The 25,854-nt window shown below is 39.7% G+C and overlaps 1 long non-coding RNA gene and 1 pseudogene across 1 annotated transcript in view, besides 2 other annotated features; one reads left to right on the top strand and one right to left on the bottom strand.

Annotated features, from left to right (window-relative positions):
• The window catches only part of LINC00466 (long intergenic non-protein coding RNA 466), a 158,175-nt gene that overhangs the window by 42,401 nt on the left and 89,920 nt on the right, over nt 1–25,854 (top strand). Inside the window, exon 4 of the long non-coding RNA NR_038252.3 lies at nt 16,807–16,872. This is a non-coding gene — a long non-coding RNA (long intergenic non-protein coding RNA 466). The remainder of the gene's footprint in view (nt 1–16,806; nt 16,873–25,854) is intronic.
• On the bottom strand, nt 12,108–12,808 carry RPSAP65 (ribosomal protein SA pseudogene 65; annotated as a pseudogene).
• Nucleotides 12,914–13,058: an enhancer, noted in NCBI's record as "145 bp 1:63727542 sequence used in MPRA reporter constructs". NCBI's record gives its function as "activates a minimal TATA-containing promoter with rs670318 allelic activity by MPRAs in C283T melanocytes and UACC903 melanoma cells {active_cell/tissue: C283T | UACC903}" and the evidence as "EXISTENCE:reporter gene assay evidence [ECO:0000049][PMID:36423637]".
• Nucleotide 12,986: a transcriptional cis regulatory region, noted in NCBI's record as "rs670318 or 1:63727542 MPRA-significant variant associated with a GWAS melanoma risk locus at 1p31.3". NCBI's record gives its function as "allelic transcriptional activity by MPRAs in C283T melanocytes and UACC903 melanoma cells {active_cell/tissue: C283T | UACC903}" and the evidence as "EXISTENCE:reporter gene assay evidence [ECO:0000049][PMID:36423637]".

Genomic DNA, 25,854 nt, shown 5'->3' with positions numbered 1-25,854 from the left:
TTACTTTTTTATTTTCCAAAGAGCAGTCTATCCTTTCCCCCAAGATTAAATTTTCTGAATATTGAAGTATCCCATTGAATATTTAGCATTTCTTTGTCTTTTAAAAGTTAGAATATTTATGATCCTTAGAATGAGTCTGACTGATTTATAGCAATCAATTATAAGAGTACATTTTCAAATAGCCCTTTTAAAAATGAAGAATAGAATAATTAAAAAGATCACAAGTCCTCCCTTGCATATAATTATTTCATTATTTCATTACAGTGCAGAAATTATTTTTGCTGACTGTGAGCAATTTTAATTGAGCAAGATCTGTGTTAATATTCAATAGCAAGTAGTTCTTCCTATGAAATAAGATCATTAATTGCCTAAATTTTATTCAGTACAGTGAGTCTTATGAGTCACATTGCAATATAAACATAATCACTAGGTAAAGTGGGTAAATACCTTTTCTGTAGTGTAGTTATCCTAAAAGCATAACCTGCCTGCTAATTTATTCCTTCAACAGGTTTATTGCCTTATTAAGCATTTGTTTTGTAGAATATTCTTAATCTATCCAGATTATCACAGAAAAACTGTGATAATGAAACATTAAAATTCAGGCTTGAAGTCTACTAAAGCCAGCATGAATAATCAAAGCTGAAACACAGCATCTTTGATTCTTTCTCAATACCAAAATGCTCAGCACCCTGGAATATATTCTGGAAGCTTTTGGCTTACAAATAAAGACTTTGTGAGGTATGGAAATCTTCACTATAGTAAGATAGCCTGTTATTAAGTGAAGCTAAATTAAATGTTAATAATAGCCATTTTCTTGGAAAAATCTAACATTCATCATAAACGTTATAATAATCTTGGCATATCTATATATTTTATACATATCTAAGATATTTTCTTCCCATAAATATTTTACATATATTTATTGCTATGGGAAGAATGTATAAATTGTAATAAAATTCATCAGAACCACTATCTTAATGACCTAGACTGTTTTGATAAAGTGTGAGTGAACATATTAAAAAACTTATTTGTCATTATATATATTTTAGTATTGAATATGCTGCTGTTGCTGGTCTGACTTAGACCTTAAGTGAGAAGTACAGTATTCTTACTTTAACTTCTTGTTTGCTTTTGTGTGTATTTTTTGTTGTTGTTGTTTGTTTGTTTTGTTTTGTTTTTTTAAGACACAAGGTCTCACTCTGCTGCCCAGGTTGGAGTGCAGTGGTGTGATCACAGCTCATTGCAGCCTGGAACTCCTGGGCTTAGGTGATCCTCCCACCTCAGCCTCCTAAGTAACTAAGACTACAAACAGGTGCCACCATGCCTGGCTAATTTTTAAAAAATACAGACAGGGTCTTGCTATGTTGTCCAGGCTGCTTAGTTTAACTTTTGAAAGTGGAAATAAAATACATGAAAAACTCACTGGTATTAATTGGTAAATTTGTGTATTCATTTAGCAAATATTTACTGAGCACCTCTATGTGTTAGGTATAAGTCTAATGTGCTAAAACTAGTTTTCCACACCCGTTCAAGAGAAACATTAGCATTTTTGCCTTCTTTGCTTGGATTCACGTATGTTCATTTGCTGCTAAAAGGAGAAATTGGCCAGACACAGCAGTGCAAGCCTGTAATCCTAGCACTTTGGGAGGCTGAGGCAGGAGAATTGCTTGATCCCAGGAGTTTGAGACCAGCTTGGGGGACACAGCAAGAATCTGTCCTACCAAAGGAAATAAAAAGAGAGAGAGAGAGAGAAGGACAGAGAGATTGGCCAGCTTGATACTTAACTACCAATTTAGAAGTTATGGAGTTGTTTACAAAGATAATTTCTGGATTTCAGTATTTAATGTGTCAGCAATAACTGAAGCCTACTGGAACTCTGTAAGAAATGAGTTACTATTGTGAATAGGACAATTTTTGTATTTGGAACTTTTTTACTGGAGAGTAAGTATTACGAGTGTTACAGAAGGCAAAACAAACTATCGACTATAGGAGTTATTCTTATAGTGAAAGAATTTTAGCATGGTGTGTTGGGAGGATGATGTGATCTGGAAGAATAAGAACTAGACTATCCAGAGTCCTGGGTTCTGCTACTGCTCCTACCTAGCTATAAGACTTTGGGCATCTTGAAACCTCTCTGAACCTTAGTTCCAGATCTGGAAAATGTGGATCATAGTCCTTGCTCTGCCTCTTCGTGGGGATGCTATCATGATAAATAGTAGCTTCCTCATTTGTAAAGTGAAAGTTTTCAAATTAGAGCAGTTCTTAAAGTGAGAGTAATTCACGAATCCCCTTGAAACAATGCAGTTTTATATGTGTATATATATATATACATATATATATATACACATCTGTTCATCTTTCTGGGTATGAGGTCCATAGCTTTTGTCAGATTCTCAAATAGGCAAGTGATCCAAAGAAGGTTAAGAAATGCTGAATTAGAGAATCTCTAACATCCTTTCTACTCTTAAATTCAAATTCCATTCTCCGTCTCTGAATAATAGATATAAAAGCACTTTGAAAGAGTGCTAAACAAATGCAAAGTATCATTCTCCATCTCTCTTTATGGATCTACTCTATGTAAAAGTCATAGCCATACTTGGAATACTGATATTATATTATGTTGCATGGGTTATTGAATAAACATATTGCCTGAGGGAATTCCTCAAATGCAAGGTTCAGTATTAAACCCCCTAGGAGAATTAGAGTGTGCCATAGAGACTCAGAGAAAATAGAAAATAAATCTAGGTGAGAGTGCAAACATTTTTTTTTTTGAGATGGTGTCTCGCTCTGTTGCCAGGCTGGAGTGCAGTGGCATGATCTTGGCTCACTGCACCCTCTGCCTCCCGGGTTCAAGTGATTCTCCTGCCTCAGCCTCCCGAGTAGCTGGAACTACAGGCACACGCCACTACACCCAGCTAATTTTTGTATTTTTAGTAGAGATGGGGTTTCACCATTTTGGCCAGGATGATCTCAATCTCTTGACCTCGTGATCTGCCCACCTCGGCCTCCCGAAGTGCTGGGATTACAGGCGTGAGCCACTGCGCCCGGCCGCAAAAATATTTTAATATAGGTACACAGTAGTTTGTTGGGCAACATTAAACTATTAATTTAACATTAACTATTAATCAGTATGAGGCTACTGATCTAGTTCTACTCTGGATTATGACAATGGTAGCTGGGCCTCAATTTCGTCTTCTCTAATTCAAAGCTCAGAGGCGGGTAGGTGAAGATTAGGTTAGTGTAGTTGAAAGTGTTCTTAGTTAACTGTACAGTGTTACACAAAAACAAGGCATTCTCTATTCAAAGCATGAAATCCCACTATTAAGGATTTCCTTATTGGTCTGGGGCAAGGTTTCTGGGGAGATTGGGGGCTAGAGTACTCTTAACCACAGTGAACAAAATCTACTGCATAGAGATAATGTTTTTCATCTAAGAAATAATTTATCTTTTCCTTTCTAGATTTGAATCAGAATAGAGTGAAAAGAATATTTTGTTCCAGAAGTTGTTCTCTTTCTTACTAAGGGTGACTCTGAGTTCCTAGATAGATCTTACACTTTTTTTCTTTCTTTTTTTTTTTTTTGAGATAGAGTCTCGCTCTGTTGCCCAGGCTGGAGTGCAGTGGCGTGATCTCGGCTCACTGCAACCTCTGCCTCCTGGGTTCAAGCAATTCTTCTGCCTCAGCCTCCCGAGTAGCTGGGACTATAGGCACATGCCACCACACCTGGCTAATTTTTTGTGTTGCCCAGGCTGGTCTCAAACTCCTGAGCTCAAGTGATCTGCCTGCCTTGGGCCTCCCAAAGTGCTGGGATTACAAGCGTGAGCCAACACACCCTGCCAGATTGTATACGTTTTAATATCCATAGCCCTATGCCAGGACTCAGTAAAATGTATACATTGAATGCCCTTGGGCTGGTTACTTACTTCCTCTGAGCAATGTTTTCACTATTTGTAGGACTAATAATAATAACAATAATAAAACCCTGGCTACCATTGAAGTACGCTGCACCAAGTACTTTACCTATGTTATTTTGTCCCAGCCTAATAACAACCGTGTGAAATATTATTCTCATTTTAAAGGCTAGGATTCTGGCCAAGCGCAGTGGCTCACGCCTGTAATCCCAGCATTTTGGGAGGCCAAGGCAGGTGGATCACCTAAGGTCAGGAGTTCAAGACCAGCTTGGCCAACATGGCAAAACCCCATCTCTACTAAAAATACAAAAATTAGCCAGGCGTTGTGGCACACGCCTGTAATCCCAGCTACTTGGGGAACTGAGGCAGGAGAATCACTTGAACCCAGCAGATGGAGGTTGCAGTGAGCTGAAATTGCACCACTGCACTCCAGCCTGGGCGACAGAGTGGGACTCCATCTCAAAAATAAATAAATAAATAAAAATAAAATAAAGGCTAGGATTCTGGTTGGTGGATGTGGTGGCTAATGCCTGTAATCCCCACACTTTGGGAGGCGAGGTGGGTGGATCACTTGAGGCCCGGAGTTCAAGATCACCCTGGCCAACATGGTGAAACCCCGGCTCTACTAAATATACAAAAATTAACTGAGTGTGGTGGCGGGTGCCTGTAGTCCCAGCTACTCGGGAGGCTGAGGCAGGAGAATCGCTTGAACCCGGGAGGCAGAGGTTGCAGTGAGCCAAGATCCAGCCATTGCACTCCAACCTGGGTGACAGTGAGACTGTCTCAAAATAAATAAATAAATAAATAAAAATAAAATAATAAAGGTTAGGATTCTGAGGTTCACAGAAGATAAGTGACTTACTTAAGGCTATAACCACCTTATAAATTTATTGGAAAGATAAAATTGTGTAATGTACTTGATCATGCTTTGAAAACTGTTTAGGCTACATAAATGTAATGCTGCTGCTGCTCCTCTTTCACTTTTTGTTCCTTTTGTCAGATGATCCAGCTTCAAAGATTTTACTTTATTAACAGCCTTCCCATTGAAAGAAGAAGGTGATTTGCTAAAGGTTTATGGTACATTGTGTCCCAGAAGTGCAGATTTGGCAATGACAAGAAATGGTTGTTGCCAGGTCGTTTTTGAATCGGCTAGATTTATCTGTCGTGTCACCAAATAGCTCTGCTGTTAGCTGAGAGAAGGAATGAAGAGGAACTATGACTGTTTGATGAATAAGACCCTTTGTAAATATTCTGCTTGGAGCTCCTCCCATTCCCTCACTATTAAAGTAGATTAGTGTCTAGATTAAAATCACAAAAGCCAAGGAATTCAGATCTAAAGCTAAGATTTAAGGTTGGAGTATCAGTCTTAACTTATGAGTGCAAACCCAGGAATCTTGGTAGGATCAAGATCATGAGTTTGCTCTGAATCTCTTGGTTTCTGTGGAGCTGAGATTTATATTCACTATAATATACAAAGTTGAAATACTTTAAAACTTCATAACATAGCAAAGACAGGATTATAATTGTAGAATAGGACCATCTCCCAACTTGTCACTGGAGGAATGGTAAAGTCAAATTAGAGTAGAACTGCTGATTACTGTGGGGAATTACCTTTTATTTCTGAAAACTGTATTTCTCTTTGGTTTAAAAAATACCCTTTTATGGGGCAATTTGATTTTGTGCAATGTTTTACGCTTAAAAAATCTAATAGGAGACCTGATGGAGAGATTTGATCATTTATTACCCATCTATACATTTACTAGTAATGATGAAAGATTTGTTGGTTGTCTAGTTTATCTGAGAGAGAGCGATGAGCCACACCAGAAGAGAGGGTGGGAAATCTGGGCTCAGTGCCCAGGATTTTTCTTTGCTATTTGGATCACTGTGTTTGCTAGAATATTTAATTAATCCCACTCTTGGAGTAATGCTTATTGCTAATGGCCATTGCTGAGCTGAAATATTAAACCATATGTAATATATCTTCAATAAAATTTAGATTTAAAAGTCCCTAAATGATGTATGTGTTTGACAGTCCTTAATGAAAACTGATTAAAGAAATTCCAGAGAATGGATAGGCTTAATAGTAACAGTTCTTTTCATTCATGTGAAAGGAAGTTCAGTATTATAAAATGAAACATAAGGAATTAGCACAATATTTGGGGTAGGGCTGTACCAGTTCTTGAATATATAGGTTTTGGTTTTTAGTTTTGTTAAATATTTGGCTCTTCTACTGTATCTCTGGTGAAGGTCTTTCCTGAGTTATTTAAGACAGTTCTTTTTGGAATACGGTTTAGCCATAGGTAGACCAGGGATTATCAGGGAACTCTGATAATTCTCTTTTGAGTAATTCAATACATGGCATGATCTTCTCTTACTATTGAACCAATGCCTCAGCAAAGGGTTAGAGGAATTCTGCTGTTTGTAGCGAAAATCTTGTGCCAGGAGCATTAACCTTGAAGTTCTAAACACTTTGCAGGTCAGGCAATTACCACAGTTATCCTAGTTACTTATTTAAGGATGTGGCAAGGAGAGCCTCCAAAAAGTGAACGGATAAATATGAGTGGAGGAAAAAAATCAATTTCTTTCTTTTGAAAGGACAGATCTAGAATTGTAATGATGGAAAGAATTCTAAGATTCAGTTAAAATATCTCTTGAACAGGTCAAAACAGGCAAAGGGTCTGACATATTGGAGTGTGTCTGGGTAGTCCAGGGATAGAATATTAGAAATGAGACAGTACTTAAGAATTTGGTCAAATTGAGTTGTCTTCAAACTTTGTAACTCCTTGAGTTACTTTATGCAAACAAACTTTTTTTTTTTTTTTTTTGAGACGGAGTTTCACTCTTGTTGCCCAGGCTGGAGTGCAATGGCGCCATCTCAGCTCACCGCAACCTCTGCCTCCCGGGTTCGAGCGATTCTCCTGCCTCAGCCTCCCAAGTAACTGGGATTACAGGCATGCGCCACCACGCCCGGCTAATTTTATATTTTTAGTAGAGATGGGTTTTCTCCATGTTGGTGAGGCTGGTCTCGAACTCCCGATCTCAAGTATCTGCCTGCCTCGGCCTCCCAAAGTGCTGGGATTACAGGCGTGAGCCACTGCGCCTGGCCTACAAACTCTTATATACTTAATATGTAAAACAGATTTGAGGGGAGCTATTCTCCTTGAAGCCAAAGAGCTTGAACCTGTTCATAATGCTTCCCCCTTTTTCCATCATTATTAGCATAGTCTGAAAATCAGTTATCTACTTCAACTCTTTCATTTGACATATATGAGCATTTATTTCCAAGAGGAGTAAATTGACTTGTTCAAGGGTGTATAACTAAATGGTGTCAGGGCTTAGTCTCAGACCAGTGCTCTGCTCTGTTATATACTTTCTACTTCAAACACTCTCTGCTTCTTGCAGGGAATTTTGGTTAGAGAGCAACCTTCTCTACAAGAATTCTAGGAAAAAGTAATGTAGTCAGGAGTTGCAAAGACAAGTGGGGCATATGGTCACAAATATTATTCCTTAATACATTCATAAAACAGGAGTTTATTGATCATCTATTATGTGCAAGGCACAGCTTGAGGCTCCAGAGAAAGTACAGAATTCCAGAATAGAAGAAGTCATGTCTTTACTATTCTTTGTCCTATATTTTCTCCTTAAAAATATGAACAAAGCAATAATTTATAGAATATGAATCATACACTCACTATAGTGTTTTTTTTGGGTATAGACTCTGGAGTCAGACTATCTAGTTTTGAAGTCTGGCTCTGAAGTTATCTTGGGCAAATCACTTAACTACTTCTCCCCGTCCCCCTCCCCAACTCCCACTCCCACCTCCTCCTCCTTCTCCTCCTCCTCCTTCTTCTCCTTCTTCCCCTTCTCCTCCTCTTCCTCCTCCTTCTCCTTTTCCTTCTCCTTCTCCTCCTCCTCTTCCCCCTCCTCCTCTTCCTCCTCCTCCTCCTTCTCTTTCTCCTACTCCTCCTTCTTCTTTTGAGACAGGGTCTTGCTCTGTCGCCCAAACTGGAGTGCAGTGGTGCAGTCATGGCTTATTGCAACCTCTGCCTCCCAGGCTCAAGCGATCCTCTCATCTCAGCCTCCCAAGTAGCTGGGAATACTGGTGCACCCCACTATGCTCAGCTTATTTTTTTTTTTTAATTTGTAGAGATGAGGTCTTGCTATATTGCCCAGACTGGTCTTGAACTCCTGGGGTCAAGTGATCCTCCTGTCTCGGCCTCCCAAAGTGCTGGGATTACAGGTGTGAGCCACTATGCCCAGTGAAATTGCTTAATCTCTCATGCCTCAGATTTCTCATCTGTAAAGTAGGAATAATAATGTTACAACATCATAGAATATTTGTGAGAATTAAATGAATATATGCATTCATTTATTATATAAATGTACATTTTTGATATATTAGAATAAATCTTAGCTGCTATTATTATGTCTTATGTCACTCACCAGGACAATTTGAGAGTCTCCTCTAAATCAGTATTTTGGCTTCTTATGTGTATTGTTCAACAAATCATATGGAATTACATTTTGCATACCTAAGTTACTAAAGCATTGTCAATTCAATTTGGTAATCTTATTTTAGCAAATGGTTAACACCTATACAGTATATATAATATATACAGTATGATATACTTCACTAGCTCATAAATTTTTTTTTTTGAGACGGAGTCTCACTCTGTCACCCAGGCTGGAGTGCAGTGGCGTGATCTCTGCTCATTGCAACCTCTGCCTCTTGGGTTCAAGCAATTCTCATGCCTCAGCCTCCCGGGTAGCTGGGATCACAGGTGTGCACCACCATGCCCAGCTAATTTTTTGTATTTTTAGTAAAGATAGGGTTTCGCTATGTTGACCAGACTGGTCTTGAACTCCTGGCCTTAAACTCCTGGACTTAAGTGATCTGCCTGCCTCAGCTTCCCAAAGCGCTGGGATTATAGGCGTGAGCCACCGCACCTGGCCTTATAAATCTTTTTTGTTGTTGTTTTTTTAAAGACAGACTCTTGTTCTGCCACCCAGGCTAAAGTGCAGTAGTGCGATTGTAGCTCATTGCAGCCTCAAACTCCTGAGCTAAAGTGATCCTCCCACTTCAGCCTCCTCAGTGGCTGGGACTACAGGTGTGTGCCACCATACCTGGCTAACTTTAAAAAAATTTTTGTACTTGGGATGTTGCTGTGTTTCTCAGCCGGTCTCAAGCTTCTGGGCTCAAGCGATCATCCTGCCTTGGCCTCCCAAAGTGTTGGGATCACAGGTGTGAGCCACCATGCCTGGCTCACTCATGACTCTTAAGATGCTTTGTACTTCTTGAATGGGAATCTTGATGATCAGAAATATGTGACATTCACAAGTGATATCCTTAGGCCATTGCTTATTCTTTCAATACATATGGTATATCCTCAAACAAAAAGTAAGACCTTGGACATGGACATCATCATATGTGTCTCTTCATGTTTCTAGAGTCCAGGCCTGTAACTTGAGATGTTTCCTATGTATTTATGTCACAGATTCTATTGTTAGTGGCAATATCTCTTCTCAATTTTAGTTTTTCTTTTCTAATTTTAAGCTATCAGCCTAATTATAATATCTTCTGTACTAATTTTTCTTTGTTCCACTGGATCTAAAGTTAATAAATTTGTTGAACCATGAATAAAAGCAAAAAGCTAGCACAGGTAGATACAAGCCATATGCATTGCTTTAATGAATAGTCACCGTGACATACGGAGGAGGACTGCCTGATTAATTATTGGGTTTGATGGAGTTGCTGCTCGCCTGCATGAGTTAGTCCAGGGGCCAATTTATAGTGTTAAAATCCTGTGATGGGCTGGTCTGACCAATAAACAAAGTAAATAAATGAACCAAGTTGATTCAGTAGCCCAGATAATTTGTGAGATTAGCATAAAAACATTATATTGCTTTTTATTTTTTTAAGACAGTGTCTCACTCTATCACCCAGGCTGGAGTGCAGTGTGCAATCATGGCTCACTGAAGTCTTGACCTCTGGGGCTCAAGCAATCCGCCTGCCTCAGCTTCCTGAGTAGCTGGTACTATAGGCACACACTACCATACCTGGCAATATTTTAAAAATTTTTTTGTAGAGACAGGGTCTCGCTATGTTGCCCAGGCTTGTCTCGAATTCCTGGGCTCAGGCGATCCTCCCACCTTGGCCTCCCAAAGTGTTGGAGTTACAGGTATGAGCCACCATATCCGGTCAATAATTAGTAATATTACTTAAAATTTGTAGTATATTGGAGCACTGGAAAATAGGTATATATCCAACAGGACTCTTCAGGTTGTGAGTAACCAAAAACCCAACTCAAACCAGATTGAGCAAGAGGTGAAATCTACTAGGTCAAACAACTGAAAAATTCAGAGGTAAATTTTTCTGACTTTCATTTACACTTGATCTAGGGGGCAACGTCTGCCTCCATCTGTTAGCTTACCTCTCCCCCATAATGGTATGCCACAAGGAGGCAACGTGCCATTTAGCAACCCCATGCCTATATCTTCCCAGGATTCAGCCCAGCAAAAAGTAGAGTGATTCTTGGCAACTACCATGTGAGTCTTGGGCATTGGAACAACTTAGGTCACAGGTCAACCCCTGAGTCAACAATGTTAGTAGGAGGATTTGATACTCTGATTGGCAAGGACTAAGGCACATGGTCTCTTCCTGGTGAAGCCCTAGCAACTACATGGGAAAGTGATGATTTTCCAAAGGACATTTGAGTAGCTCCCAGAAATAATAAGGAGCAGACAAATATCTATTAGAAGGGAAAATAAAATTCTTTTTAAACAAACTAATATCAAAATGCCAGATAAGAAAACAGACATTCTTATATATTATTTCAAGTGGGCTATTTGGGAATATCTACCAAAAATTCAAGTGCCCATTGTCTTACACAATTTCACATCAAGAAATTTATCCTACAGATAAATCATACCAGGGTACAAAGATGTTATTTAAAGGATGATCACTGAAGCATTGACTGTAACAGCAAAACACTGTCCATTGACATGGAAGTTGTTAAATTATGATACATTTATAGAGGAGAATATTGCACAATTATTTTTAATGAGGTAGATCTATATGTTCTAATATGGAAAGAAGTCTATGATAATTTAAGAGAAAAAAAGCAAATTGCAAGAAAATAGGCAAATATGGCCTTGCTTGTATAAATGCATGAAAAATACCTGGAAGAATATCCAAAAGTGTTTAACGCTGCTTATTGCTAGGGAAGAAATTCTAGGGAGTTAGGAGTGGCAGGAAGAAGACATTTGCTTTTCACTTTATGTCCTGTGGGGCTTTAATTTGTTTACCTGAGTACTTGTTAATTTCATTACTTTAAAAAGTCAGTCTAGCCGGGCATGATGGCTCATTCCTATAATCCCAGCACTTTGAGAGGCCAAGGCAGGAGGATCACTTGAGCCCAGGAGTTTGAGACCAGTCTGGGCAACATAGACTCCATCTCTACAAAAAATGAAAAAAAAAAAAAATCAGCCAGTATAGTGGTGTGTGCCTGTGGTCCCAGCTACTCAGGAGGCGGAAGTGGGAGGATTACTTGAGGCTGGGAGATCAAGTCTGCAGTGAACTGTGAGCATGCCACTGCACTCCAGCCTGGGTGACAGAGTGAGACCCTGTCTAAAAAGGAAAAAAAAAAAAAAGGGAATTCCCTTTCATTGAGCACCTGTTATGTTAGTAGCTGTATGGCTTTGGTGAATTCAATTAATTTCCCTGACCCTCAGTTTCTTTGTTTTTCAAGTGGGGGTAATCATATTAATAATATTTGCCTTACATTGTAACTGGGAAATTATAGATAAAATATGCTAAATGCTTGAGTGTAGTAGACATCTAGTAAATCATTGCTATTATTAGTCGTAATTACTTCAGTTTGTGAGTAATTACTTCTTTTTCTTTTCTTTCTTTCTTTTTTTTTTTTTGTTTGAGACAGAGTCTCACTCTGTCACCCAGGCTAGAGTCTAGAGTGCAGTGGCACCATCTCGGCTCACTGCAACCTCTACCTCCCAGGTTCAAGAGATTCTCATGCCTCAGCCTCCCAAGTAGCTGTGACTACAGGCATATGACACAATACTCAGCTAATTTTTGTATTTTTAGTAGAGTCAGGGTTTCACCATGTTGGCCAGGCTGGTCTCGAGCTCCTGGCCTCAAGTGATCCTCCTGCCTTGGTTTCCCAAACTGCTGGGACTGCAGGCTTGAGCCACTGTGCCCAGCCTATTTTCTTTACTGTTCTTCCTCTGCAGAAGTAGTCATCAGGCATGACCTCCCATGGGTGCTCACAGAAGATGGTGCCGTGCATGTGCAGAACTTCCCAGGCCAAGATCCACCACATTGGACCCACTGAGTGAGCCCCCTTGTCATTGCATGAGATGGTGATGATCACATAGCGTAGAGGAGAGTATGTGTGACACAGAGCAATGGTAGTCAGTTTAACATACGATAGCCCTGTGAAAGGTGTGTGGTCAGCCCTGGGATCAGTAACCATCAGAAGACATGGCTCCCAGAAGGCTACCTGGATCTGGTTAGCAAAGGAACCAGAAATAAGAGTGGCTCCAGTGGCAGCAGCAAACTTCAGCATAGCCTGCTGGCTGACATTCCTGGAGGATGTGACACTGACAGCAGCTGAGTTTCCAAATGGCAACAATGGCACAAGCTGCCAGCCAAAGCTTCTTGCAGGTCCTCTTCAGATTTATCATGTAGATGCCATCACTTTTCCTTTTGTAGTGTATCATTTGGAAGTCAAGGTGGGTGCCACCTAAGTGGATTCCTGCTGGAAGGAATGTGAGGACATTCTCCTCCTTCATCTTCAGGGCATAAAGGGCTCCAAACATTGTGAAAGTTTCTCTTTAAATTACGACATGCTGTATGGATCTCTGACTGGGGAACATGGACAAGTACACTCAAAGTTTGATTGCTAGTATAGCTCACTCTTCTGTGGCTAGAAGTCCTGAAGAATAAAACGTTAAGCAAGTTATTATGCTGACTACAACACCCAGGCTTAGGAACTAGTGAGCATAAGACCTCAAATTTCTTTCTGGCTCTCATTATGAAAGTCATGATTGTTTCCCTTGCATCATCCTCTGCATGTGGCTTTTCATCTTACATTCTGGCTTTGCTCCAGGAGACACACTGCCTTATGCCAGGGACCTGGTGGAAAGGTCACCCCCAGAATGGACAGGCTGGGAAGAGCTCACTTAACAGTGTAAGTCCTTAACTGCATTTCTTCAAGCGCCATCTTAATGGCATATAAGCAAAAGTGAAAAATTCCAAAGGGGACTAAAATTTAGATTTTGGCCTGATAGTATAACTAGAAGGTTTTTTTGCTTTGAATTACCATAAGTAGGAGTGAGTGAGTTTCTGTCATTCCCCTACCGAATAAAATATTGAATTTATGATGAATAGTTGTTAAATAGAGTGATCTGGACTTATTCTTTCCAGCCTAGTGAGACCCATCCCAACCTTTTACAGACAGTTTCTTTAAATATAGCATGAGAAACCTCAGTGTCCTCTGGAGGGTTTTGTAAATGGATGCCAGCCCAGTCTTTATTAAACTGGGCTTGTATGTCATATAATTGCCTGTCTTGACATACCTCTTCCAGGCTTTGCTGGAAGGGTTTGTTAAGGATTCTTTTCTGCTGTAAATAATGATCCTTGGTGTTTTTGTTGTTGTTTTTGTTGCTTCAACTTTATCTTTTTCTGTGTTTTTCCTGAATTTTTTGAAGTTTGTATCTTTTTCAATTAGTTTTCTTTTCCTTTTAAATCTACTTAGATGATGTCTACTGATTCCTTTCAATCCAATTCAAAGTCCTATAGCAAACATTTACTGACCATTTACTCTACACAAATCATGCTGGTGCTGTTTTCCAAAGCTTCAACATGATTTTAGAGTTGTAACATCCAATATGGTAGCTATTATCTGTATATGGCTATTTAAATGTAAATTAATTAAAATTAAATTAAATTAAAATTTCAGTTCCTTTTCTGTACTAGCCTTATTTCAAATGCTCAGTAGCCACATGTGACTAGTGGCTACTGTATTAGCTAGTGTGGGTATAGAAAGTTTCCATCACTGTGGAAAGTTCTACTGGACAGTGCTATTATAGTGCATCAGTTATTTAGAACTACAACTCACTACCTGTCTTTCATTTATAAAATAGTCAAAAACTCCTATCTTCCAATCAGAACTTTTTTTTCTTTTTTTGAAACAGGGTCTCATTCTGCTGCCCAGGGTGGAGTGCAGTGGTGTAATCACGGCTCACTGCAGCCTTGAAGTACCCAGGCTCAGTGATCCTCCCACCTCAGCCTCCTGAGTAGCTGGAACTACAGGTGAGCGCCACCACACCTGGCTAATTTTTGTATTTTTTTGTAGAAACAGGATTTTGTCATGTTGCCCAGTCTGGTCTTGAACTCCTGGGCTCAAGCAATCTGCTCACCTCAGCCTCCCAAAGTGCTGGGATTACAGGTGTGAGCCACCACACCAGGCCAAGAACTTAGTTTTTAGCAAGTCAAGTGAGATTTATTGAATTTTACTGTTAGGCACTATGGAAAACACAAGGACAGGTAAAATATGTTTCTTGCCCTCAAGGAACTTAAAATATATTGAGGAAAACTGACACATAAGATAGCTAACGAGATTGGAAGGCAGGATATGCAAAGTGATGTAACTGAGGCATAGTTAAGGTACAATGGACTCATTGAGGAGGGATTTCTTTCTATTCTGCATCAGGGCCTTCATGCAGAAGGTGGTGCATCTAGGAAGGAAAGGACATGGGGAAGGTAGAAAGTCATTTTAGGTGCTGAGGAAATAATATGAGTAAAGACATGGAATAGGGAAAGTAGCTCTGTGAGGCAGATAATATAGCACAGAGATTCAGAGCACAGAGATTCAGATATAGCCTCTGGGGACAAACTGCCTGGACTAAAAAAACTGGCTTTGCCTCTAGTTAGCAAGTAAATTCATCTTACTAAATCTCAATTTCTTCATCTGTGAAATGGTGCTAATAATAGTTGCTACCTAACCGGGTATTTGTGAGGATTAAATGAGATGTGCTGTTGAGGGGTTTAGCACAGTGCCTGTCATAGCAGGCCACTAGGGGAGGATCTGGAGGAAAGGGAGGTAGTTATACTGAGGCTATTGCTTGAGAGTGGTCTCAATTTGTGAAGAGTCTCCAAATGTAGTGGCTGAAATAAGATAGAAAATAATTTGCCTTCCAGTTCAAAATTTGGGGATAGTCCATCCATGACTGGTATGGTGGCTGTGCTCCATGAAGTCCTCAGGGACCCAGTTCCTTCTCATTTTCTGCTTTGCCATCCCTAGGGTGTGGCCCTTGTCATCATAGTCCAGCATGGAACTTCAGTCATGTCATGTCCCATGACCCATGACCTCAAGGCTCCCAGAAGCTGCCACGTGACATTTTCACTTGCATCCCATTAGCCTCAGCGTGGTCATATGGCCTCACCTAGCTTCAGGGGAACTGGACAGCATAGTCTTTTTTCTGGGAGACCCATGTTTCTAGCTAAAATTTTTATTACAAATAGAAGAAGGGGAAATGGATATAGTCTCTGTAACAAAGAGACACAAGACTGAAGCCAGATTACAGAGGTCTTTAACACAGCCTAAGAAAGAGTTTGTATTTTCTTTCTTGGGCTCTGTGGAGTTATTGACACTCTCAGTGTGGGATTTAACACAATTAGAGTCTGTTCATGGTAATAGACTTGACACGGTTCTTTAAACCATCAATACCCACCCCAGGAATACTGAGAAACTTTCAAGAACAGTTATTTTCAATTTTTTCAAAAAATTTGTTTTCCCTAATATTCTTACATTCTTCTCAATTTTCCTTTCTCTTTGAGGAAGGGAAAAGATAACCCTTTCTCCTGGCAGCTCTCCTTTAGACCATGTCCAGTGTATCAACGGTCCTCTAAAATGAGCTGTCCAGGAGTCTGAGTCTGCAGTAAACTATGATTGCACCACTGCGCTCTAGTTGGAAGACAGAGTGAAACCCTGACTCTAAAAAAAAAAAAAAAAATTCTGATAATGGAACTAGTTCTTCATATGCAGGGTTGGGGATTGTGCCAAGTAGACAGAAGTGGTACCTTTTTTTTTTTTTTTTGAGACAAAATCTCACTCTGTCGCCCAGGCTGGAGTGCAGTGATGCCTCTTAGCTCATAGCAACCTACGCCTCCCGGGTTCAAGCAATTCTCCTGCCTCAGCCTCCTGAGTAGCTAGGACTACAGGCATGTGCCATCACGCCAGGCTAATTTTTGTATTTTTAGCAGAGATGGGGTTTCACCATATTGGCCAGGCTGGTCTAGAACTCCTGACCTCAAGTGATCCACCCGCCTCGGCCTCCCAAAGTGCTGGGATTACAGGTGTGAGCCACTGCGTCTGGCCTGGTACCTTTTTTTAATCAAAATACTGTTCTCTCTCTTTGGGCACCTTGTGCTTTCTTTCCTCAGACACTGTGCTTACCACACGACAGTGCATTATTGACAGTGTGTTACTCTAGATTCTAAGCGGCTTGAGGACACAGTTCAGATCTTACTAGAGTCTATCTCCTCTTTGGTTTACTCAGTGCCCAGTACCAGGCACACATTAGGTTATCAAATGTCTGGATAAAGGCTGAGTGTAGAATGCTGCCTAGATTATGTTGGCTTTAAAGCAGCTGAACTAGCACGTAAAGCCTCGTACTGTTGATTATTGCTGGGTTGGTTGTGAAAGCACTCCAGGCAAAGGCTAAGAGAAAGAACTGTGTAAAATGTAGTTTAGTCCACATGGAGTATGGTCCTGCGCAGCGTACACTGGACTGTGAAACTATGAGATCAGGTTGAATGCTTTGTGCTCAATACCAAAGTCTGTTTTCTCTTTTCTTACTTTGTCTATGTTATTGCAGGCACTGGTTTACTGAGACAATTCAAAACACACATTCATTTTGTGTGCTTATGAAATATATCCCAAGGTAAGCCCCTCCAACAAGATTTTTAAACCAACAAACGTTTACTGAGTATGTGTGAGGCATATGGTTGGGGCCATGAGGAATAAAAATAACTGAAAAAAAACCATTCATTGATTTCAAGGAATTTAGTCAACAGACACTGTGCTGGGTTGTAGGAATCTAAATATGGTTGACAAGGCTCCTACCCACAAGGGGCTTCCCATATGGTATGAAAAATAGACAGATATGCAGATGATTACAGACACTGCGATCTAGTGTTTGAAGCTTTCCTGGGACCAAATGTACACATCTTGATTAAAAATGTGAAGGAATTGTACAGTTGAGATTTTGTAAAATTTGTACATACATTCTAGTTAGGTGGCATATAAGATATTTTCAGGGAGTTGAATCTATTTTAGGAGTGACAGTGATCTGATATGCAACCAGGAGAGAGAGACTGGGGAGGGAAAAAAAGAGGGTTGATCGTTTTGAAATGACAGTAAATTATCTTTTGACACCAGCTGTATCTTTTTTATAACAGAAAATGGAAACAACTCTGTCCTTGACCTTCAAAAAGAAATTGACTTACCTAGCTTAACTATTCAAACAAACAACTGTGTACTCTCTTCAATTCCGATGATGATTTTGATTTACTGTAAATGACTGAATTTAATGAACTAAATTATGCTATTTAAATGCATTTTGTGAATGGTATTGTAGTTTGTTACAAAGCATTATGTCCATGCTAAATTGTGCTGTAAATGATATGGTATGGAACATATGTGCTGTATTCATAATTTAACTGTTGCTGTGGATTGCCTTCTTGGATAGGACACATTGAAAAAAGGAGCCTTTATTTACCTGGTGAAATGAAGGTGATATCTCAGCAAATCACTAGGTCTTACTGACCTTGGCAGAATTACAGTGCTAATATTTTCACATGGATGAACTGTTCTTAAACAATTTCTCTAATGTATATGGCAGAAATCGGCTTTCCATTAAAACTAGGTATATATGGTATATTTTCTCTTTCCATTTTTTTCCCCTTCAACAAACATTTACTGCAGTCATTGCAAGGATAATTCCATCTCCATTAAGGTTCATGTTTTCTCCTGGCCTCTCAAATGGTAGAGATAATGGAATAGAGAAGTTTGTCCTGCAGTTACGCTGGTGGTCTCTAAAGGGACCTGCATTAAATAATTCCCTGCTTTTCTTCTTTCTGAATGATTCAATAATTTTTTTTTTTAAAAAGTAAATACTGAGGCCAAAATACCACCTTTGTTATGGATACAGGCTGAGTTGGCTTTGTGTGGGAGCTAAATGGGCTTTCTAACAGAAACCTGGCATTAGATACACTAACCTACAAGGTCCCAACTTGCATACATGAGAGGCCAGCCCAGTAGGATTTACAACATGGAAAAGCAAAGAATTTGTGCTTTCTGTGGACAAGTTCATCTCAGGAGAAAGAACAGTTGAGCCAAGTGGAGCATTCTCAGTTATTCTTTACAAAAGTTACTAGTTAGGTTTAAATGAGTTAAGTGGGTAGAGAGAGACCTATCTCCTCATATGAAGAAAATATTAGACACAAGTTAAAAAATCATTTCCCAATAACAAGTGGAATATTTTAAGAAAGGAATTCATTCAAAAGTTCATCACTACAGAGAAATCCACCAGATATGTTACACATTTATGATGTTGCTTCCATTTCTCCCCTCGGAAGTGTATCTTTATGACAGCAGTCCTTCTGTTACTTGAGGGAAGATGAAAAAACGGCAGCTTTTGGGGCAGCCACAATTATAGGTTCAGAAAAAATTACATGAAGTTTATGTGATCATTCTCAGTAGTTCAGTGCTGGCCATTACACTACACTGATATAAACGAAGACAGAGTCAAGAGGCTTGGGTTTTAGAAATTTTATGATCATTAGCTCTGTTTCACTCAACTTAGGCTGCTATAACGAAATACTATAGCCTGGGTAGCTTTAAACAACAGACATTTATTTCCTCAAAGATCTGGAGGCTGGAAGTCCAAGATCAAGGTGCCAGCATGGTGAGTTTCTTGTGAGGCCTCCCTTCCTGCCTTCTAGGTGGCCACCATCTCACTGTATGCTCACATGACCTCTTCTGTGTGTGTGTATGCAGAGAGACAGAGAGGGCATCTCTTCTTATAAGGACACTAATTGTATGGTATCAGGACCCCAGCTTTATGACCTCATTTAACCTGAATTACCTCCTTGAAGGCCCTATCTCCAAATACAGTCACACTGGAGGTTAAGCCTTCGAAATATGAATTTGGGTATGGAGTTGGGGAACATAATTCAGTCCATGGCAAGCTCATTGTGTGACAAGGCAAGCGCTTTGTCTTATTTTCCCTTTCTATAAATGAGGGCCCATACTTTATGCCACCTGATAAGGTTACTAGTGTATCGAGTGAAATCATGGACATTAACACATTGAAATGTTTAAAGTGCCATACCTATGGCATTATTTTTATTCACTTTTGAATCTAATAGTTACTGAGGGCAGGCTTTTCTTACTATTTAGCCACCCTTAGTTCTTTTTCTCTTACCTGAGTATTTCTCAGTGACAGACAGGAAGTTGGGTAATGCTTGATTGTGGTCTCACTCCCTTAAGAAAAATTTTCTAGAGGCAGAGGACAGCATGAAGTAGACATTGCACAACAAGGAATGCTGATTTTCCCAAAATGACTTAAAACATTTAGCAACTAGATTTCGCAAAAGACTGATCTGATCCTCTAGTAAGAAGTTAGAGTTTAGTTTATTTTGATAATTTTTTTTGTAGTAGAGTTTTTTGTTTTTGTTTTTTGAGACAGGGTCTAACTCTGTCACCCAGGCTGGAGTGCAGTGACATGATCTTGGCTCATTGCAGCCTCAACCTCCTGGGCTCAGGCAATCCTTCCACCTCAGCCTCCCAAGTAGCTGAGACTACAGGCACACAACACCACTCCCAGCTAATTTTACAAATTTTAAAATTTTTTTGTAGAGAACAAGTTCTCACTATGTTGCCCAGGCTGGTCTTGAACTCCTGGGCTCAAGGGTTCCTCCTGTCTTGGTCTCCCAAAGTGCTGGGATTACAGGTGTAAGCCACCGCACCTGGCCAATTTTTTTTTTTTTTTAAATCAAATGCATGAAAGTTTAAGAGAAGAAATCTGCAATAGTCCATCTCCAATTGTACTGCAAAGGAATATCATAATGTGAACATTAGACAGAGAAAATTAAGCCAGTGGGAGTGTTTTCTCATTTTAGTGAGATTGCTTCTGAACTTAGCAACTTAGCGTTAGGTATACACAAATGACTAGACAGTCAATTTTGATGAGTTGCTGCAAGAAAAGAATTAGTTTTACTCATTTTTCTGTGCCATATTTAGCATTTTCTTCAGAGTGATTCAGTTAACATGTCTCTTGGTAATATTCTCTCTATATTTATTTTGGAAGCAACAGTAAATGATACAACTAATATTTTAGAATATTGTAATAGCAAGTAAGTTCTAAAAACTTGAAGAACTTGGAGCTTATCTATTTGCTTGCTCTTTTTAAATGATTATAGCATGAAGCTTTGCTTCAGAAGCAGGGGCAATATGACTCTTAATCAGGAATGTGAAACTGTTTGGTAACACAATCTGAAAATGAAATGTTTGAGCTGGTCTGTGAAGGTCATTGATAAATGGAGTAGTGTCTAGGACCTTTCTCTGTGATTGGCCACCATGAATAAATATGGGTGGAGCTAACAGATAGAAGTCAGTTATGACCATAAGATTTCCCACATCAGCAACATGGAGTTATAACGCTAGAGATTTTGCATTTTTCTGAATGTCACAAACAGAATCTTGGTTGGTTGCTCTAGCAAGGTGTTGGGTGGACATTCAGCTAAGAGTTGGAGACTTGAAGAAGCAAAGTCTATAAAGTAGCATAACTCTTGTGACATGTCTTTAGAGCCCCCAGGCCACACTTGCAGGTAACAAAACCAAGAAATATTAAGTGACTTGTTCAGTCACCCAACAAATTAGTGATGGAGCCAGAACTACCCTAGATTTCCTCCTTCCAGTCCAATATTTTCTATATGCAAGAAAGGGGGAGATATTTTTCCTGTGGAAAAAGTTGAGGCAAAGGAAGCCCCTTGTCTGACCACCAGAGCATTTAGGATCATAGAGTCGGATTATCTGAATGTTTAGAAAGACTTACAGATTAAGGTTTTTGTTTTGTTTTTTTCAGAGATGAGGTCTCATTATGTTGCCCAGGCTGGAGTGTGGTGGCTATTCACAGGTTCGATTATAGTGTACTGCACCTTCAAGCTCCTGGCTCAAGCAATCTTTCTTCCTCAACCTCCTGAGCAACCGGGACTACAGGAATGCACCACTGTGCCTGCTTTAAGATTATGTTTTTGTTTTTGTTTTTTTGAGATGGAGTCTTGCCCTGTCTCCCAGACTGGAGTGCAGTGGCGCATCTCGGCTCACTGCAACTTCCACCTCCTGGGTTTAAGCAATTCTCTTGCCTCAGCCTCCCGAGTAGCTTGGACTACAGGCACGCACCACCATGCCCGGCTAATTTTTGTATTTTTAGTAGAGATGGGTTTCACCATCTTGGCCAGGCTGGCCTTGAACTCCTGAGCTCAAGTTATCTGCCTGCCTCGGCCTCCCAAAGCACTGGGATTACAGGCATGAGCCACCGTGCCCGGCCAAGATTAGGTTTTTAAATGTTTTCTAATTCAATCACCAATACAACACTTGAATCTAATCTACAAAATCCCTGCCAAATGGTCAGTCTATGTTTACACACTTAGAGTGATGAGAAACTTGGCCTTTGATTTTCATTTGGCTTAGACTATTAGAAAGTTTAGTCTTATATTGGGCCTAACTTTGTCCTCCTGTGGCTACAACTCTTAGGTTTTAATTCTACTTTCTGGTAATTCAAAAAGCACACAATTAGCCATGGGAGTATATTATCCTTTACCCTCTTTCATGTGTATTAGTCTTGTCTTTCCTTTCTTTCAATGCTTTATGTTTTAGTAGGACATACTCAAATGCCCACTGGACCAATCAAATCTATAAATACGCCTCTTACCAATGTCTTTCAAGTTCATTGTGTAAAATAGGCCTGAAAACTCTCAAAGAGGGATAATGAAAGGGGAATTAGAGTCTAATTCAGGCCAGCTGTTTGACATCCTTGAGGTCCTTTGCAAATGCTGATTTCATGTGGGTCTCAGTGTGATTAATATAATCTACTTGGCCAGGTTATCTCAACCCATTTTCTAAAACTCATTGTTTGCTTCGTTATCTCTATGTATTTTGTGATACTACAATTTCCATTGTCCATGGATAGTACTCAGCAAATTATATAAAGGTACCATCTTTCATCCAGGTCTGCAAATATACTTTAACAATTTAGTTTTGTGTACCTTGTTTATTTTGTTTTGTTTTGTTTTGTTTTGAGATGGAGTTTCACTCTGTTGCCCAGGCTGGAGTGCAGTGGCACGATCTCAGCTCACTGCAACTTCTACCTCCCGGGGTTCAAGTGATCCTCGCACCTCAGCCTCCCAAGTAGCTGGGATTACAAGGGTGTGCCACCACGCCTGGCTAATTTTTGTATTTTTAGTAGAAATGGGGTTTTACCATGTTGGTCAGGCTGGTCTCAAACTGCTGACCTCAAGTGATTTGCCTGCATTGGCCTCTTAAAGTGCTGGGATTACAGGCGTGAGCCACTGTGCCTGGCCGTGTACCTTGTATTAAGCAAATTTGATATCTAAAAATCAGATTTAGACCAAAAAATTCAGAAAATGGGCCAGGCAGGGTGGCTCACGCCTGTCATTTCAGCCCTTTGGGAGGCCAAAGTGGGTGGATTGCTTGAGCCCAGGAGTTCGAGACCAGCCTGGGCAACACCTCTACAAAGAAAACAAAAAATTAGTGAGGCTTGGTGGCATACGCCTGTAGTCACAGCTATTCAGGAGGCTGAGATGGGAAAATCACCTGAGCCCCGTAAGTTAAGGCCACAGTGAACTGTGGCATGCAGACCCGCCCCACTGTTCTCCGGCCTGGGAAACAGAAGTAAAACCCTGTTTCCAAAAAAAAAAAAAAAATCAGAAAATGATTTCTTTTAAACAACAAGTTCCCTAAATGCCCCTGAAGTATAAATAGATAGAAAAAGTTCTGTTCCAACCTAAGGTGTCTGGAATACTTCAATTAAATAAAGCAAGATATAGACATTTGAAATCTCCATAAGTAAAAATAGAATTACAGAAATAAACTTGTAGATGAACAAATAGAAATGAGGAGATGAAATTCAACACAGAAAGTTGATCTGAATATTCTCACATTTTTTAGGGCTACAGACATGCTCTAAGCTTTACTATTGAAAGTTAGTGGAGCTTGTTGTGGCTCAACCTAAGACATTTAGGTATCATTTCAACCAATCAAATGTTCACAGACTTGTAGAAAAGGCAAGTTGGGTGTACATCAGATTTTACTAGGATTATATCCAAACCATCTAGTCAAAACAGAAACTGGGCTGGGCGTGGTGACTCATACCTGTGAACCCAGCACTTTGGGAGGCCGAGGTAGGAGAACTACATGAGTCCAGCAGTTTGAGACCCACCTAGGCAACACATAAAAGGTCTCTTTTATAGAGAGACCTTATCTCTATAAAAAATTAAAAAAAAAAATTAACCAGCCACGGTGGCAGGTGCCTGTAGTCCTAGCAACACAGGAGACTGAGGCGGGAGGATCACTTGAGCCCAGGAGGTCGAGGCTGCATGAGCCCTGTATTGTGCCACTGCATTTCAGTCTGGGCGACAGAGTGAGACCCTGTCTCACAAACCAACCAACCAGAAACAGAATTTGAAATTTTCAGAAAATTCCACTATTTTTGTTTTTAATCCATTCCAATGTCAGGAAGCTTTTTCTTATGATCAAATCTAAGCCTCTAGTTTTGAGTCTCATGAAAGAAAAGTTGCAGCTGGTCACCACCTCTTTGTAAGACCCTATATGCACAGATTCCATTTCTTTCTGGATCATGAATACCTGAACTAGTTATAATGATTTTATGAGGGCCTAATAAGTGGGAAGATTCTCTTACTCATCTTATTCCCTATGTCCAAGTGAATAAGAGCCAATTAAGGCATAGAGGTAATGCTCACAGTACTTATTTGTCTGGTTCAGGCTTCTGCCTCTGCACTGACAGGGGCCTAATTTGATATTTTATAGTAATGTTTCGACGTCTGAGGCTAAGTACTACTATTATAAGAAGAACAGGAAACATCATTTTATAAGGTCTATAAATAAAGAGTATAATTCATTAAAAATTTCTGAAATCTCTTATACTCAGTGGCAAAATTAAGTGTATTAGGTTGAAAATTCTTTCTAGAAAATATTATGGGCTGGCCGGGCGTGGTGGCTCATGCCTTTGGGAGGCTGAGGAGGTGGATCACCTGAGGTCGGGAGTTCGAGACCAGCCTGACCAACATGGAGAAGCCCCGTTTCTACTAAAAATACAAAAAATTAGCCAGACATGGTGGTGCATGCCTGTAATCCCAGCTACTCGGGAGGCTGAGGCAGGAGAATCGCTTGAACCCAGGAGGCGGAGGTTGCGGTGAGCTGAGTTGGTGCCATTGCACTTCAGCCTTGGTAACGAGAGTGAAACTGTCTCAAAAAAAAGAAAAGAAAAGAAAAGAAAAGAAAATATTATGGGCCAACGTCATAGGAACAAAGCACAAAACTGACTTTGGATCAGGTCTAGGCCGTTTAGTCGTTCCTCAGTATCTGTGGGGAATTTGTTCCAGAACCACTTGTGGATACCAAAATCTGCTCATACTCCAGTCCCGCCATCGGTACTGCAGAAATCGTGGATATGCAAAGTCGGCCCTCTTTACACGTGGGATTTGCATCCCTCCAATACTGAATTTTCAATCTGTGTTTGGTTGTGAATTTGGAACTGGCTGGTATGGAGGGCTGACTATACTTATTGCAAAAAATTATTGTGTTAAGTGGACCCACTCAGTTCAAACTCACATTGTTTGAGGACCAACTGTATTTTGTTTTTTGCGGGAGACATTTAAAATATTTTCAAAATTCACTTAAATTCAGTGTATTTTAGGCTATTTAATTACTGATATGCCTTTGTATAGCTTTTTTCATGTTTCATGGTTGTGTTGTTTTAATCAAAATTAAAAATTTTGGGGTCATTGTTTCTTCAAACTGCTTTTCTCTTCCCTTCCACTCTCTCTTCTCCTTTTGGGACTTCAATTACTCATATATTAGGCTGCTTAAAATTGTCGCACAGCTCAATGATGTTCTGTACATTTTTTTTTGTCTGCAGTATTAAACTATTTTTAATTCTACATGTTTTTTTTTTTTCTTTACCTAAGACATTGTATTTTTCATCTTCAGAAGTTTGACTTAGGTTATTTTTATATCTACCATGTCTCTTTTTACCATGCTTATGCTTTCCTCTCTTTTTTATAATATGAAATATATTTCTAATCATTGTTTTAATGTTCCTTTTTCCTAATTTCTAATCTTGATAATTTCTTGGTCTGCTTCTACTGATTGATTTTTTTCTTATGATTTTAAGTCATATTTTCTGGCTACTTTCATGATTTTGTGAATTTGGGGCTAGACATTGTGAAATTTACATTGTTTGGTGGTGGATTCTTTTGTATTCCTAAATATTATTGAGCTTTGTTTTAGAGTTTTCAAATAATTTAAAAATAGATTCATCCTTTTGACATTTGTCTTAGGTTTTGTTAGGTAGGACCAGAGCAACTTTTAGTTTAGGGCTACTTTGCCCCAACTACTGAGACAATATCTGCCTGTTGCCTTATATATTCTGAGGTGTTCATTTTTAACTCTGGCTGTTGAGAATGTGAACTATTCCCAGGCCTCTGTGAGCTCTGAAAATTATTTGACCTGCTCCTGGAAAAGTGGTTCTTTTTCCAAATTTGAGTGGTTGCCTCACATGCATGTGCTGATCAACACTAAGCTTAAGACTTAAGGGGGA

The sequence above is a fragment of the Homo sapiens genome, chromosome 1 (genome assembly GCF_000001405.40).
Source record: "Homo sapiens chromosome 1, GRCh38.p14 Primary Assembly".
In the NCBI taxonomy this organism is placed as follows: Eukaryota; Metazoa; Chordata; class Mammalia; order Primates; family Hominidae; genus Homo; species Homo sapiens.
This window is presented reverse-complemented; position numbering and strand designations above follow the sequence as displayed.